Source organism: Homo sapiens, chromosome 7 (genome assembly GCF_000001405.40).
Source record: "Homo sapiens chromosome 7, GRCh38.p14 Primary Assembly".
NCBI classification, from domain to species: Eukaryota; Metazoa; Chordata; class Mammalia; order Primates; family Hominidae; genus Homo; species Homo sapiens.
This window is the reverse complement of record NC_000007.14, coordinates 6,733,927-6,751,867: the sequence shown is the minus strand read 5'-3', so window position 1 is coordinate 6,751,867 and position 17,941 is coordinate 6,733,927. Positions and strand designations below refer to the sequence as shown.

Below are 17,941 nucleotides of genomic sequence, written 5' to 3'. Positions count from 1 at the left end.
CCTCCGTCTCCCGGGTTCAAGCGATTCTCCTGCCTCAGCCTCCTGGGTAGCGGGGATTACAGGCATGCGCCAGCACACCTGGCTAATTTTGTATTTTTAGTAGAGGCAGGGTTTCTCCATGTTGGTCAGGCTGGTCTCGAACTTCTGATCTCAGGTGATCTGCCGGCCTCGGCCTCCCAAAGTGCTGCGATCACAGGCATGAGCCACCATGCCCAGCCCAAGTGTTCTTATTTTTATAAAATGTGTTCTTGCCTGGACACACACACACGAGCGCATGCAAACATAGAGAAAAAAAATTTGCAAGCAATGCTCCATCTGGTTTGAAAAGGTTCTCAAGATCACTTTTAAATGGGTGTGATGTGTATTTTTTTTAAGTAGCAGGTTTCATTTTAAAACAAAAAAGGTTAGTGAAGACTCTGTCTTTCAAAACATAAAAATCTGCGATAAAACCAATTATTCCATACAGTGACTACGGTCAGTTCTGAGAAATGACACCCAGGTTGGCGATGTGTCTCATGGTTGGCCTTCCATGGGGACAGTTCCAGGGGTGGTCCATCTCCCCCATGTGGGTGATCAGTTTCTTCATCTCGCTTGTGTTAAGAGCAGTCCCAATCATCACCTGAGTGTGAGACACAATGGTTCAACGTTTTAGTAGTTTTTTGACGTCAGAATGGCAGCTCTTCAGAAGCATTCTTCTCTAAAATAAGGCTGGACAAGATTACAGCTCAAAAACTACCTTCCCTGAAAAACCTTCCCCCAGAGAAGCCTAGGTTCTAGATCTCAGCCCTCCACCCTTCTGTGAAATCAGGCTCCTTGTGGCTCCTTCAAGGTGGCACCGCCTCCACTCCAGACGCCGACCACACCTGTCTCAGCAGCCACCCTGCCCTCTCACCCTGGCAGGTGCAGCAGCCTCCCAGCAGGCCTCCCTGCCCCACTGCGACCCCTCCGAGCCGCTCTCCACTCAGCAGCCAGTGATTACTTTTAAAGGGCTGTCAGGTTATTCATTCCACTTCACAGCTCTCCCCCTCACCTGAATAAAAGCCCCCGTCTGTCCCCTGACTTGGCCCTCGCTGGGCTGTGCCTGCACCCCCACCTCCAAGCACGAATGCCTCCCTTCCTCACCCCAGCTGCACTGCTACTCCCTTCCTCTTGCACAGGCCCATCACGCAAACACCTGCCTTGGGACTGTGGCACTCCCGGGACCCTCTCCCCCAATGGGTGCAGGCGTCACTCCCCCTCTGTCGAGCTCCGACCTGCTGCCCATAGCACTCCAGCCCTGGCCCTGCTGCCTCCCTGCCATGGGTCCTCTGACAGGAAGGAGAGGACACAAGCCTGAAGCCCAATGTCACCTTCTTTCTTCCTGCAGCACCCTGAGGGCTCGCCATGTGCCAAGCACAGTCAGAAGGCTGGGGTGACAGCAGGTTGGAGAAGGACAGACAATCAACAAGTCAACAGAGAACCAAGACAGGTGGCACCCAGGCGAGGCGGCCTGCTCAGGTGTGGGGATGGGGTGAAGGGTGACGGTGGCAAACCCAGGTAGAGAGGAGAGTAGGGAGAAAGGGTGTAAGGCAGGGAGGAGACTGAGGCGAGCGTGGAACTGGAAGGCAGCTACATGGCTGGAAGCTACATGGTGGGGAGATGGGGCTGGAAGGGTGGGCAGGGCTCAAAGCAGGAGCCTCCTGGGCAGGCAGTGACAACACCGGAGATGGACGGGTAGGCCAGGGCGAGAGGGAAGGAGCAGCCTGTGGTTCCCCGGGCCACTGAGTCACACTAAACTCAGGACATCAAAACTGCCCGGCTATGAGCTCAGCTCCACGCTCTCACTCACAGACTCCAAGACTGGAAGATCCATATTATGTCTTTTATTTTGGTGAGGTCAGGGGTGGTGGAGAGACTCTGTCTCCCAGGCTGGAATGCAATGGTGCGATCTCAGCTCACTGCAACTCCGCCTCCCAGATTCAAGCAATTCTCCCGCTTCAGCCTCCCGAGTAGCTGGGATTACAGGCGCCCACCACCATGCCCAGCTAATTTTCGTACTTTTAGTAGGGATGGGGTTTCACCATGTTGGCCAAGCTGGTCTCAAATTCCTGACCTCAGGTGATCAACCCACCTCCGCCTTCCAAAGTGCTGGGATTACAGGTGTGAGCCACCACGCCCAGCCCCTATTAGGTCTTTATCCAAGAAACACTGTGGCTAGAAGTCAGACTCTGGGCCCTCTTCTAATTAAACTCTGCCCTTGAGTCATTTCATCTAATCTCATGGCTGTAAATTACACCTGAAGCTCACACAGCAGGCTCCATCCCACCCACTCCCCACGTGGCCCCCAGCTGCTGCTCTCCCCAGCGGCCGCAGCCACCGCACCCCTTCCAGTCTGTTCTCTCTCCAGCAGCTGCAATCACGGGACTCCTTCCCGTCTGTTCTCTCCAGTGGCTCGTGCCACACACAGCACAGACCCCCAGGGTCTAGGTATGACCGGCAACACTCTACGTGGCTGTCCTCTGGACGCCGCTCTGCTCACTCCCTTCCCCTCTCCAGGGACACAATCAGCCTCTGGCTTCAGTCTTGCTACTTCCTTCGCTTGGAAAGTTCTTACCCAAGAGGGCTCCATTCTACCTTTTTTTTTTTTTTTTTGAGACAAGGTCTTACTCTGTCACCCAGGCTGGAGTGCAGTTGCGTGATGTTGGCTCATTGTAACCTCGACCTCCCTGGCTCAAGTGATCCTCCCACCTCAGCCTCCTGAGTAGCTGTGACTACAGGCACATGCCACCACACCTGGCTAATCTTTTAATTTTTTGTACACATGGGGTCTGCCTGTGTTGCCCAGGCTGGTCTCTTAACTCCTGGCCTCAAGCAATCCTCCTGCCTTGGCCTCCCAAAATGCTGGGATTACACGTGTGAGCCACCATGCCTGGCTTCCATCCCACCTTTTAGATGGCAGCTGAGATGCCACCTGCCCAGATGCCATTCCCTGACCACCATCTCACCTGGTCACCATGTTTTTCTCTTGTCATTTCCTGCCCCAAAACGCTGTTTTAGGCCAGGTGCGGTGGCTCACGCCTGTAATCCCAGCACTTTGGGAGGCCAAGGCGGGCAGATCATGAGTCAGGAGATCAACACCAGCCTGACCAACATGGTGAAACCCCGTCTCTATTAAAAATATAAAAATTAGCCAGGTGTGGTGGGTGCCTGTAGTCCCAGCTACTTGGGAGGCTGAGGCAGGAGAATCGCTTGAACCTGGGAGGCGGAGGTTGCAGTGAGCTGAGATCACATCACTGCACTCCAGCCTAGTAACAGAGCGAGACTCCGTCTCAAAAACAGACAAAGAAAAATGCTGTTTGAATCTCTTGACTGTGCTTACTGGCATCTAATGCGTGTCATTTATTTGTGGTGATGCCTATTTCTCCCCACTGTCTGCTCCACAGGGGCAGGGGCTGCAGCCGCCTTGTTACCTCTGTGTCCCGAGCACCTGGAGCAGGGCGGGCCCCACATCAGGGGCTCAAGGAGCACCTGCTGAATAAATAAAGGAATGGCGTCCTGGCCCTTCCCAGTGGCCAGCTGATACACAGTCACTTTTCTTGGAAATCAGGCTAATCCCCACTGCAGGCAGAACCACTGCTGCCACCTTCCCACACCAACCGAAGCAGCGGCAGTGACGCCACGTGCAATGACAACCACGGCACCCCGTGAAGCACCTGCTGCCTCGATGACTCTGCAGAATCGTGTCCAATGTCGCCGAGTCCTGGCAGCAGCAAATCTTTATCTCCCAATGTTGTTATGACCCATAAGGTCCATAGACGAACAAGGTACCTCAAACGCTAACTGCGTTGGAGTCAACCAAAGCTCGGAGATAGAATACTGGCCGGGCCAGGCACAGTGGCTCATGCCTGTAATTCCAGCACTTTGGGAGGCTGAGACAAGGGGCAAAAGGAGACCATGTTTCTACAAAAAATTTAAAAATTAGCTGGGCATGGTGGTGCATGCCTGTGGTCACAACTACTTGGGAGACAGAGAGAGGAGGATCGCTTCAGCCTGGTACGTCAAGGCTGCAGTGAGCTGTGATTGTGCCACTGCACTCCAGCCTGGGGGACAGAGGGAGAATCTGTCTAAAAAAAAAAAAAGAAGAATTCTGGGTTTTTTTTGTTTTTTTGAGACGGAGTCTCGCTCTGTCGCCCAGGTTGGAGTGCAGTGGTATGAACTTGGCTCACTGCAACTTCCGCCTTCTGGGTTCACGCCATTCTCCTGCCTCAGCCTCCCGAGTAGCTGGGACTATAGGCGCCCGACACCACGCCCGGCTAATTTTTTTGTATTTTTAGTAGAGACGGGCTTTCACCATGTTAGCCAGGATGGTCTCGATCTCCTGAACTCGTGATCCGCCCGCCTCAGCTTCCCAAAGTGCTGGGATTAGAGGCTTGAGCCACCATGCCCGGCCAAGAATACTGCTTAACAGAGGTAACAAAAGAGCAATAATTATGAGTTCAAGGTCACAGAGAACACAGACGACACAGATGCTCAGCTACGACGCTGCACGTAGCTCTCTGTGTAAAATGACCCCTGGCAATCACAAAGGCGTTTACAACCTTGACCAAATCAGGAGCTGGGCTGAGACCTTCCTCGACTGCAAGCTTGAGCAGCTGAGCTGACAGCCAGGCTTTCTTTACTTACCGACTTCCGGCAGGCTCTGGAGGCAAACATCTGCTTGACTCGGGAAGGCCGGCACATGACCCCAGGGCTGTCGCTCAGCATGAAGATCAGTTCATCGACGTCCTGGGGTCCGAAGGTCCAGCTTTTACTAGTTGGCAAGGAAATCAGTTTAGCCCTTTCAGTGACTGGAGCTAAAAGAATACAATTTTGAGAAAAATCCATGACTTGACAAACACGTTTCACTTGAAAGCTACTTAGGATGAACATCTGAGGCCGGGCGTGGTGGCTCATGCCTATAATCCCTGCACTTTGGGAGGCCAAGGCAGGCAGATCATGAGGTCAGGAGATAGAGACCATCCTGGCTAACATGGTGAAACCCCGTCTCTACTAAAAAATAGAAAAAATTAGCTGGGTGTGGTGGCAGGCACCTGTAGTCCCAGCTACTCGGGAGGCTGAGGCAGGAGAACGGTGTGAACCTGGGAGGCGGAGCTTGCAGTGAGCCGAGATCACACCACTGTGCTCCAGCCTGGGTGACAGAGCAAGACTCCATCTCAAAGAAAAAAAAAAAAAATAGTGAACATCTGAAAGAGAGGACAGTCACAAAATGCTTTTTGGGGGAACCTTTTTAATCTTTTATAAAATAAAAAAAAAACAGTCTATATGACCTGAAAGATTATTCCCAGCTCTAAAAAGACAAGAATCTATAGTTCTAATTTTTTTTTTTTTTTTTGAGACAGAGTTTCACTCTTGTTGCCCAGGCTGGAGTGCAGTGACGTGATCTCGGCTCACTGCAACCTCCACCTCCCGGGTTCAAGCGATTCTCCCACCTCAGCCTCCTGAGTAGCTGGGATTACAGGCACCCGCCACCAGGCCCGGCTACTTTTTGTATTTTCAGTAGAGATGGGGTTTCACCATGTTAGCGAGGCTGGTCTCAAACTCCTGACCTCAGGCGATCTGCCCGCCTTGGCCTCCCAGAGTGCTGGGATTACAGACGTGAGCCACCACACCCAGCCGCTATAGTTCTAATTAATAACTTACCATTTTCATCGATAACAAAATCGAAGCCATTCTTTCTAAATATTTCCAGATTTTCTATCAGAACAGCTTCATTAACAGCAGTTAAGTTGAGAGTCTGAGGTCTGAAAAACACAAAAATGATTCAAACCATATCCTGAAGTCAAACATTTAGCTTTACAGCAGAAATGAAATGAAAACAACAATACTGTATTTTGAATTCATGTCAAAATAACAACACGAATAACAACATAATTCAGCTAAGTGTCACAAAACTTCCTGAGAAGTTCCTTTTAATTTTCTCTTTCTTAAAGTTCTTTTTAGAAGTTAAAATAGCTACAGGCCAGGTGCGGTGGCTCACGCCTGTAATCTCAGCACTTTAGGAGGCTGAGGCAGGCAGATCTCTTGAGGCCAGGAGTTTGAGATCAGCCTGGTCAACACGGCGAAACCCTCTCTCTACTAAAAATATAAAAATTAGGCCAGGCATGGTGGCGCACGCCTGTAGTCCCAGCTACTTGGGAGGCTTAGGCATGAGATTCGTTTGAACCCAGGAGGGAGGCAGAGGTTGTAGTGAGAGCCAAGATCACGCCACTGTACTCCAGCCTGGGCGACACAACAAGACTCTGTCTCAAAAAAAAAAAAAAAAAAAAAAAAAAACACCCACAAAAACAAAAATTAGCTGGAAGTGGTGGCTCATGCCTGTAATCCCAGCTACTCGGGAGGCTGAGGCACTAGAATTGCTTGAACCCAGGAGGTGGAGGTTGCAGTGAGCCAAGATCACACCACTGCACTCCAGCCTGGGCAACAGGGCAAGACTCTGACTCAAAAAAAAAAAAAAAAGTTAAAGTAGCTACAAAAGTAGTTTGCTTTTTCCTCAGCCTGCCACGCCAATGACTCCCACTTTTTCTGAATCCTTTCCTTAAGGATAACAGTATCACAAAAATGCTATTTTTTCTCCTTCTAATAGAGAATTTGAAACACTGGGTTAGGTCATTGCCAGCATTTGTAAACAGAATGAACAGACAGCATTTATTTTGCTATCCTGTTCCTTCCTCTCCCTGTATTATATCTCCATCCTTCTCTCCTCCTGGATTTACTGAGTGCTTTTTTTTTTTAACCTTTCGTTATTTTTTTCAAAGATAGAGACAGGGTCTCACTATGTTGCCCAGGCTGCTCTCAAACTCCTGGGCTCAAGCGATCCTTCCACTTCAGCCTCCCAAAGTGCTGGGATTACGAGTGTGAGCCACTGCATCTGGTCCTGAGTGCTGGATAAGACAAACACTGCTCAAGGCAGGAGACAGCTGGTGAGCAAACACAGGCTTGGTCCTGGAGCCAACAGATTACCGGGGAAGAAAGACGTTGAGCAAATACTCAGGCAAGTCGATTATGATGAGAAACGACAGGAAGGTCAGGAAGAAAAAGCAGCCAGTGTCATAGAGAGACTTCACCCTGGGGTCAGGAAGTGACCTTTGAGCTGAGTCCGGGGATAAGAGAGTTAATCAGGTAACGGGGGAGAAGTGGGTGCAGGGTGCAGGACAAGTATTCTAGACAGGGACAACAATCTGTGCCAAGCCCCAGGATGGACCGCTGATGTTTGCAGAGCCACACATAAAGATATCCTTCATTCTGCTTAGTGGCCACATAGGGATTCATCAGGCCTGCCAAGGGAAAAAGAAAGACAGCCAGAGAGGCTTGAGTACAGGGAACAAGGGGAAGACGAACGGGAAAAGCTACAGAGGTCAACAGGGCCACCCTACACAGGGGCTGGCAGGGCAGGGTGGAACTGGGTCTTTATCCTTTAATCTTGAAGTGTGGTCCATCTGGGACCCTAAGTGGTCTGTGATTACCTGGGCCAACTTGAAATGTCACAGATGAGAGGTTATCTTTGCCGAATGGCTAAAAAATACAAGACCTCAGCCGGGCATGGTGGCTCACGCCTGTAATCCCAGCACTTTGGGAGGCTGAGGTTGGTGGATCACCTGAGGTCAGGAGTTCAAGACCAGCCTGACAAACATGGCAAAACTCCCTATCTATTAAAAATCCAAAAATTAGCCAGGTGTGGTGGCGGGTGCCTGTAATCCCAGCTACTCGGGAGGCTGAGGCAGGAGAATCACTTGAACCCGAGAGGCAGAGGTTGCAGTAAGCCGAGATCACATCACTGCACTCCAGTATGGGCGAAAGAGTGAAACTCTGTCTCAAAAACACAAAAACAAAAAACCTCTATTAAGAGGAACAGGGAAGGGATATAAAGTAGCTTACTAAATGTCTATTATTACCATTGCCTCCTACTGAGAATAAAAACAATTCACGCATTCCACAGGAGAGTACTCAGCAAACTACACAGGAGAGTACTCAGCAAACTACACAGGAGAGTACTCAGCAAACTACACAGGAGAGTACTCAGTAAACTACACAGGAGAGTACTCAGCAAACTACACAGGAGAGTACTCAGTAAACTACACAGGAGAGTACTCAGCAAACTACACAGGAGAGTACTCAGCAAACTACACAGGTTCAGTGGTACATTTCTCCATGTGGGATCTACTTGTTGGGATCTGAGTTTACTTCACTACGTTGTTTAATTTCCCACACGAAAATCCATGACCTCTTCTTATAACTTTGCTGAAGACAAGACTTTGGTTTTACATGATACTATCACATCTGACCTTTGTGAAGTAGTCAGAGTAAAACATTCCAGCTTGGCCGAGGAGAGAGAAATACCAAATTCTGCAGTGACTATCTTAAAATAATTTTTAAATTTTATTTTATTTTATTTATTAATTTATTTGTGAGACAGAGTCTCACTGTCTCACTCTGTCACCCAGGCTGGAGAGCTGTGCAGTGGCACGATCATGGCAGCCTCAATCTCCTGGGCTCAAACGATCCTCCCACCTCAGCCTCCCGAATAGCTGGGACCACAGGCATACACCATGAAGTCTGACTAATTTTTTACATTTGTTGTAGAGACAAGGTTTCACCATGATGCCCAGGCTGGTCTCAAACTCCTAAGCTCGAGGGATCTGCCTGCCTCAGCCTCCCAAAGCTCTGGGATTACAGGCGTGTGCCCCTGCATCCAACCTGCAGTGACTATCTGACTTCTGATTACTCTACTGTCAATCAACACTGGCGCACAGGCTGTCTGTCTTTCTGAACACACACATTCCATACACTATGCATACTAATACTCCATACTATCAATTGCCCTCATCAGAAGGATCTTCTGGCTAACCAGTGATCAACATTTTTAATAGCAAAAAAGGTCTGATACTTAGAGAACATGTTAACCACGTGAACTGGGGCAGGTTACTCAACCTCTCTGCATGTGCCTCAGTTTTATCGCTTGTGGAATGGTGATGGTAACAGTAACAACCTGACAGGTTTTTGAGGATTAAAGGAACTAATACACATACATTATTTCAACAGTGCCTGGCAGATTCTAGGCATTAAATAAATGGTAACTATCACTATTATTATGTAAAAAGTATAAAAATCTGCTATATGAATACTTATGGAAAATTACATATATACATATAGACACACATATAAACTATTAGGTCTCTTTTTTTTTTTGAGATAGAATCTCGCTCTGTCACCCAGGCTGGAGTGCAGTGGTGCGATCTCGGCTCACTGCAACCTCTGTCTCCCAGGTTCAAGCGATTCTCCTACCTCAGTCTCCTGAGTAGCTGGAATTACAGGCGTGCACTGCCATGCCCAGCTAATTTTTTGTATTTTTATTTTTTATCATTATTATTATTTTTTGAGACGGAGTTTCACTCTTGTTGCCCAGGCTGGAGTGCGATGGCACGAACTCGGCTCGCTGCAAACTCCGCCTCCCGGGTTCAAGCGATTCTCCTGCCTCAGCCTCCCAAGTAGCTGGGACTACAGGCGCCTGCCACCACGCCTGGCTAATTTTGTATTTTTAGTAGAGACAGGTCTCACCATGTTGGTCAGGCTGGTCTCGAACTCCCGACCTGAAGTGATCTGCCCACCTCGGCCTCCCAAAGTGCCGGGATTACAGGCGTGAGCCACCGTGCCTGGCCTTTTTGTATTTTTAGTAGAGGCGGGGTTTCACCACGTTGGCCAGGCTGGTCTCCAACTCCTGACCTCAGGTGATCTGCCTGCCTCGGCCTCCCAAAGTGCTGGGATTACAGGTGTGAGGCACCGCACCTGGCCAACTAGATCTTTTTTATTTTTTACACCCCTCCTTCCTAGATCTCTTCTTTTTTAAAGTAGATACAAGGTCTTGCTGTGTTGTCCAGGCTGGTCTCAAACTCCTGGCCTCTTGTGATCCTCCTGCCTCGGCCTCTATTAGATCTTCAATTTGAGGGGGAGTCTGGGAATGAACACTAAACACACTCACGCTATGAGCCTCTGCCCCTGGAGCACGGTGTGCTGCTGCAGCATCTCGAAGTTATACTTCTCGTCCGTGGCATGCTGGTCCACTATGAAGATATCCTCATTCAGTTTGGTTATTATAAATCCCAGGTTAAACTGACCAATGATTTCCATTTCTGCAAACATCGTTTTACTGCAGGTAGAAAATGTTAATTATCAGACATTTTACAAGATTATTTTTCTGATTATGTTATAGAACACTGTAATAAAAAAAAGTCAAACAATACAAAAACAAAATAAAGTCCCTAGCCATCCCGCTTTCTTTTTTTTTGAAACAGAGTCCCGTTCTGTCACCCAGGCTACAGTGCAATGGCACAATCTTGGCTCACTGCAACCTCCACCTCCCGGGTTCGAGTGATTCTTCTGCCTCAGCCTCCTGAGTAGCTGGGATTACAGGTGCGCCACCATGCCCAGCTAACTTCTGTATTTTTAGTAGAGACAGAGTTCCACCATGTTGGTCAGGCTGGTCTCGAACTCCTGACCTCATGATCTGCCCGCCTTGGCCTCCCAAAGTGCTGGGATTACAGGCGTGAGCCACTGCGTTCGGCTTAACCATCCCACTTTCTAAAGATAACATTAATTATTCATTCATCCAACTCTCCGGAGAAGACATCAGTTGCTACTATTAACGATTTAAATGGAATATATCCTTCTAGACCCTTGTCTCTATATATAATTTTTTTAATTTTAAAAAACAAAAATGGAATCTTAATTCTCCATTCTGTCATCACTTAATGCATCTGAAAGACGTTTTTAGACCTGTACACATAGATCTACTTCATTATTTTTTTCTTTTTTTTTTCTTTTAAGACGGAGTCTCTCTCTCTGTTGCCCAGGCTGGACTGCAGTGGCGCGACCGTGGCTCACTGCAACCTGCGCCTCCCAGGTTCGAGCGATTCTCCTGCCTCAGCCTCCCGAGTAGCTGGGACTACAGGCATGCACCGCCAAGCCCGGCTAATTTTTTTATTTTTAGTAGAGACAAGGTTTCACCATGTTGGCTAGGCTGGTCTTGAACTCCCGACCTCAAGTGATCCACCTGCCTCGGCCTCCCAAAGTGCTGGGATTACAGGCGTGAGCCACCGCACCCGCCCTACTTCATTCTTTTTAATGGCCACATAGGAATTCATTGCATGGATGTACCATAACTTGTCTGACAAATCCCCTGCTAAAGGACATTTCGGTTGTTTCCAATTTCAATAGTGCACTCAAAGCTGCAACAAATACTTCTGTGCATAAACCTACTCATCTGTGGGTGCATTTCCGTGAGACAGACGCTACAGGTAGAACTACATATGTACTTTTTGACGGGAAATCTGTGAAAAGTCACACTCCCACCAATGGTGTGTAAGAGCACCTTTCTGCCAATGCTGGATATCAATCCTTCTCATCTTTGCCAGGCCCACCACTGGGTCCTTTGCTGGGTGGCTTCAACATCCAATGTCATTAAATACTAACTTAGTCAATCTGGACAAAAGACAGACACCACCGCTAACCTTCACACGAGAAATTGACACTGTCATTCTCAGTTCCACACAATTAAATCCGGTGAAAATGGATTTTCCGCAGTATCAGCGCGGTGACGACAAGAAATGGCTCTGTTAAAGCAGCCATGGACGTTTTCTGGTTCTCACCTGGTGGTCTGAGCTGAGGATGAAAGGAGCTATAATGTAATCCCAGCACTTTGGGAAGACAAGGTGGGCAGATCATTTGAGGTTGGGAGTTCAAGACCAGCCTGGCCAACATGGTGAAACCCCATCTCTACTAAAAATAAAAAAATTAGCCAGGCGTGGTGGTGGACACCTGTACTCCCAGCTACTTGGGAAACGAAGGCAGAAGAATCGTTTGAACCCGGGAGGCAGAGGTTGCAATGAGCTGAGATCGTGCCAGTGCACTCCAGCCTGGGTGAAAGAGTGAGACTCTTGTCTCAAAAAAAAGAGAAAGGAGCTGATATTGTTGTTTCTTTCTATAAGTGCTCCAGGAAGACCCGGTCCCATGCCACCATGCTCGTCACCATCACAATCAACCACAGGGGACAGTTTGGTGAACTGTGAGACCTCCACATGGCATGGATTACTGAGCCCACATTTCCTATGGTGAGGGGCTCCACACAGAGCTCAAATCCAAGTCATAACCAAACCAATCCCCAAATCCTATCTTTGAGGGTCTGTTTCCTGGTACTGATTCCATATCAGGCAAAGTGCAATCAATCAAGAGACAAAAACCACACCAGTGATTTTAACAGGGATTTTTTTTTTTTTTTTAAGACAGGGTCTTGCTCTGTCACCCAGGCTGAAGTGCAATGGCATGATCATAGCTCACTGCAGCCTCAAACTCCTGGGCTCAAGTGAGCCTCCTGCCTCAGCCCCCTGAGTACCTGGGACTACAGGCGTGCAGCAGTGTACTTAGCTAACTTTTTTTTTTTTTTTTTTAGAGATGGGGTCTCATTATATTGCCCAGGCTGGTCTCAAACTCCTAGCCTCAAGTGATTCTCCTGCCTCAGCCTCCCAAAGTGCTGGAATTACAAGGTGTGCACCACCATGCTAGGCCTGAGGAGGAAAAATGTATAATAAAGCATTACACAAACTAGCAAAAGGTGGTTAACTACTATGCTAAGAAATACAGGAATGGAAAATGCTACTACCCTAGGGAAGAGGGAGAGTCCTCAGAAAAGGAACTCTTTTTTCTTTTTTTTTTTTTTTGAGATGGAGTTCGCTCTTGTTGCCCAGGCTGGAGTGCAATGGTGCAATCTTGGCTCACCACAACCTCCACCTCCCGGGTTCAAGCAATTCTCCTGCCTCAGCCTCCCAAGTAGCTGGGATTACAGGCATGCACCACCATATCCCACTAATTTTGCATTTTTAGTAGAGAAAAGGTTTCTCCATGTTGGTCAGCCTGGTCTCGAACTCCCAACCTCAGGTGATCCACCCACCTCAGCCTCCCAAAGTGCTGGGATTACAGGCATGAGCCACCATGCCCAGCAGAAAAGGAACTCTTGTAAGAGGCTCCTACCCACTCAGGCTGAGTTTCAGACCTCCTTGGAGCAGGAGTGGCCGCAGCCTGCTGGATGGAGAGAAGCTGCCAGAGTGAGTGATGACACAGGAACTCCTGCCGCACAGGAGGGAAGGAAAAGAACATCCCAGAAGCATCCCAGATGCCAGCACAAATACCACCTCCCCTGGCGCCGATCCCAGGCTCTCCCGGGAATTGTCTGAATATGCCCTGGTTCCCAGTACATAGATAATCTGCTCAAAAGCTGGTGCTGGCCTAAAAGACCCAAGTCTTCCATGTGTTTGGAGTCTGTGTCCTGCCACAGAGAACAGGATCTGGCCAGGCGCAGATGCCGGAATTACAACTGCGCACTACCGCGCCCAGCCAATTTTATTGTAGAGACGAGGTCTCCCTATGTTGTCCAGGCTGGTCTTGAACTCCTGGGCTCAAGTGATCCTCCCTCCACGGTTTGGCCTCCCAAAATGCTGGGATTACAGGCGTGAGCCACCACACCTAGCCTCAAAATACTCTTAAGAAAAAACTTTACCTGGCCGGGTGTGGTGGCTCACACCTGTAATCCCAACACTTTGGGAGGCCAAGATGGCTGGATCACCTGAAGTCAGGAGTTCGAGACCAGCCCAGCCAACATGGTGAAACCCTGTTTCCACCAAAAATATAAAAATTAGCCAGGCATGGTGGCGTGCACCTATAATCCCAGCTACTCAGGAGGCTGAAGCAGGAGAATCGCTTGAACCCAGGAGGTGGAGGCTGCAGTGAGCCAAGATTGTGCCACTGCATTCCAGCCTGTGCACAGAGCAAGATTCTGTCTCAAAAAAATAAAAAATAAAAATAAATACAAATTTAAAATAAAAAGTAAAAAATTAAAACTTTACCTTATCTCTTTTCTTAGTTCATCTTCGGCTGCTTGATTTTCTCCAGGACAAATCCTTGCCCTAAACTTCCTGTAATTCTGTTCCCCTTCACTTTGCTGTGCTTCATGATGTAACTGCTTTATTCGTTTAGCTAAAGAACTCAGAAAAGTTCAGGGGCACAACTTTCTTATTAATTTTCACAGCTACATCAACCTGAGAAGCTGACACGTTCTGAGTATTTACTAACTTTTGACGAATGTCAGAATTGGAAAGAATTTCTTCTTTCTTAAAACACTTTTGTGTTTGGGGATGTGAGATTAGTTGGCTGAGGCAAAACCTGAAATTTACATCCGGTATCTTCCTGGTTTGAATGGCAGTCCACATCTGAAAAAGAGTCGTCAGTTTCAGGCGCTTTCTCCTGAGAGTCCACATGTTCCTGCGAGCCCCTGTCCCCTGGGGTGCTGGCCACACACTCGCTGCTGCAGTGACTGCCCGTGTCTGGGATGCTGAACCCCTCAGAATCCACGGAAGTGCTGCCATGCCCCGAGTCCTTCTCCACCTCCGCTCTGTCCGTAGGGTCACTGGGTCCCTGACTGGAACTCACTGCCTCTTTCTGAGGTCTCAGGACGCCTTTGTCAGAGATGGCATCTGAAGTGCTAGAAGACGACATACCCCTTTTCTGTCCTAGAGGGCTCCTTCTTGGTTCTGGAGTCTTTGGGCTGTGAGGCTTGTTCTCTGTTGTGTGACGAAGAGAAAAGGCCTCTCGCAGTCTGGAAATGGACACGTCCCTTTTTTCTTCTCCAGTCCTTAATGAAGGGGATTGATCCTGCTTTTCTACCATGGGCTTTTCCAAATCCGCTGCATGCATTTTTATTAAGTTACCTAAGCAAACGTGGACGGAGAAGAGGGTCAGGGACTATCCTGAAATGGTGAGAGGACGTGCTTATGTGAACAGATACTTCACAAAAGAGGAGATCCACATGCTAATTACACAGATGAACACGGTTCAATGTTCAAAATAAAACTATAATATGGGCCAGGTGTGGTGGCTCACGCCTGTTATCCCAGCACTTTAGGAGGCCAAGGCAGGGGGATCACATGAAGATAGGAGTTCAGGACCGGTCTGGACAACATGGCAAAACCCTGTTTCTACTAAAAATACAAAAATTAGCCGGGTGTGGTGGCACATCTGTCATCCCAGCTACTTGGGAGGCTGAGGCACAAGAATCCCTTTAGCCCGGGAGGCAGAGGTTGCAGTGAGCCAAGATGCCACCACTGCTCTCCAGCCTGGGTGACAGAGCAACACTCTGTCTCAAAAAAAAAAAAAAAAAAAAAAACAAACCCAACACAATGCGATATGGCCATATACTCACCAGAATGGGTAAAATTAAAAAAACAACAAATGCTCACAAAGATCAGGATCAAGCGGAATGCTTGAATACCTCTGGTAGGAATGAACCTGGTACAGCTGCTTTGAAAAGTTCTCTGGGAATACCTCCTAAATCTGAATGTATGCACACCTGCAACCCAGCATAGCTACTCCTATCAGAAGTGCCTATCGGCCGGCACAGTGGCTAATGCCTGTAATCCTAGCTCTTTGAGGTCAGGAGTTCAAGACCAGCCTGACCAACATGCTGAAACCTCGTCTCTACTAAAAATACAAGAAAAATCAGCAGGGCATAGTGGAATGCACTTATAATCCCAGCTACTAGGGAGAATGAGAATGAGGCAGGAGAATCACTTGAACCTGGAAGGCAGGGGTTGCAGTGAGCCAAGATCACTCCACTGCACTCCAGCCTGGGTGACAGAGTGAGACTCCCTCTCAAAAAAAAAAAAAAAAAGAAGTGTCTATCTCTATGCTCGTCAAAAGACGTGGATGAGGATGTTCATGACGGCATTCTTCATTATAGCCCGAAACTGGAAACAATTCAAATATTCACAAATTATGATATCTGACTATAACGGAACACTGTATAGCGAACAAAAAAATGAATTTTGCCGCATGACTTGGATGAATCTCACAAACAAAATAATGAGAGAAAGAAAGAAATCACAGAAAAGGACAGACTGAATAACTTCAAATTAAAAACAGATTAAACTATACTGTTTTGGTTTTTGTTTGTTTGTGTGTCTGTGTTTCTGAGACAGAGTCTCCCTCTGTCACCCGGGCTGGAGTGCAGTGGCACGATCTTGGCTCACTGTAAGCTCCGCCTCCCGGGTTCACACCATTCTCCTGCCTCAGCCTCCCGAGTAGCTGGGACTACAGGTGCCCGCCACCACACCCGGCTAATTTTTTATATTTTTAGTAGAGACGGGGTTTTGCCATGTTGGCCAGGCTGGTCTTGAAATCCTGATCTTAACTTATCCGTTCACCTCAGCCTCCCAAAATGCTGGGATTACAGGGCGTGGACGGTGAAACCCTGAGCAAGACCCCGTCTCAAAAAGAAAAAAAAAAACTTACATGACCATAAATTGTTATCTCATTCCAGTCATAGCAGAGTTGTAGAATTTCATTTTATTCTTTGAGGCATTAGTCACTAGTTGTACTGAAATGCCAATGGAACTTACCTGAATCAACAGAAATGTTAAGAACAACAAATGGATACTGGTGTCGATTATACACGCGGTAGACGTCATTCACGAGTCTGCAGACCTGCACAAAATACAAGGAGTAGAAAAGAAAAAATGACAAATGTTTCCGACCCCCTGCATTCTAACAACATACTATTCTAACCAACCAGCATGTTCTTAGAAGGGGATACTTTTTTGGTTTTTTTTTTGAGACAAGGTCTCGCCTTGTCACAGCCTGGAGTGCAGTGGAGCAATCATGGCTCACTGCAGCCTCAACCTCCCAGGTTCAAGTGATCCGCCTGCCTCAGCCTGCCATGTAGCTTGGACTACAGGCAGGACTTTTTTTTTTTCTTTTTTTCTTTTTTTTTTTTTTTGAGACGGAGTCTCGCTCTTGTTACCCAGACTGGAGTGTAATGGCGCGATCTTGGCTCACTGCAACCTCCGCCTCCAGGGCTCAAGTGATTATCCTGACTCAGCCTCCAAAGTAGCTGGGATCACAGGCACATGCCACCACGACCAGATAATTTTTGTATTTTTAGTAGAGACGGGGTTTCACCACGTTGGCCAGGCTGGTCTCGAACTCCTGACCTCAGCTGATCTGCCCGCCTCGGGCTCCCAAAGTGCTAGGATTATAGGCGTGAGCCACTACACCTGGCCTAAGGATACATTTTTTAACAGCTTTACTGAGATATGACTAACATGGAATAAACTACACATATTTAAAGTGTGCAATTTCATAAGTTTTGACATATACACAAACACCTGTGAAACTATCCCCACAATCAAGATAATGAATATATCCATCACCAAAAGTTTCCTCACAACTCTCAAAGTGTTATTTCTCGGCCGGGCGCGGTGGCTCATGCCTGAAATCCCAGCGCTTTGGGAGGCCGAGGCGGGCGGATCCCAAGGTCAGGAGATCGAGACCATCCCGGCTACCACAGTCAAACCCCATCTCTACTAAAAATAATACAAAAAATGAGCCGGGCGTGGTGGCGGGCGCCTGTAGTCCCAGCTACTCGGGAGGCTAAGGCAGGAGAATTACATGAACCCAGGAGACGGAGCTTGCAGTGAGCCGAGATGGCGCCACTGCGCTCCAGCCTGGGCGACAGAGCGAGACCCCGGGAAAAAAAAAACAAAAAACAAAGTTGTATTTCTCTAATCATAGATTCCTAAAACTGAGTCTTTTTCCAACCTAAAGTTGCTCTCCGAGAAATTCTAGTGAAATGCGGGCACAGCTTAAATGTTCATAAAACACATTCAATGTACATAGAAAAGTATTTATGACATTAAAATGTAATTAGAAATAAACCTAAATATCACATTATTAATAGTTATAATTAATAATTATTAATCCATCACATAAGATTCCTTATTGGCCAGGTGTGGTGGCTTACACCTGTAATCCTAGCACTCTGGGAGGCCAAAGTGAAAGGATCACTTAGACCAGGAGTTTGAGA

At 47.9% G+C, this 17,941-nt stretch overlaps 1 pseudogene across 1 annotated transcript; it reads right to left on the bottom strand.

The window, feature by feature from the left end:
- Positions 1-266: 266 nt before the first annotated feature.
- PMS2CL (PMS2 C-terminal like (pseudogene)) lies at positions 267-16,563 on the bottom strand (annotated as a pseudogene). Its single transcript, NR_002217.1, has 6 exons — positions 16,479-16,563; positions 13,932-14,792; positions 10,016-10,183; positions 5,680-5,780; positions 4,663-4,832; positions 267-619 (listed from the first exon to the last, which is right to left on the bottom strand). The product of NR_002217.1 is annotated as a PMS2 C-terminal like (pseudogene) (transcript).
- Between the last annotated feature and the right edge of the window lie 1,378 nt (positions 16,564-17,941).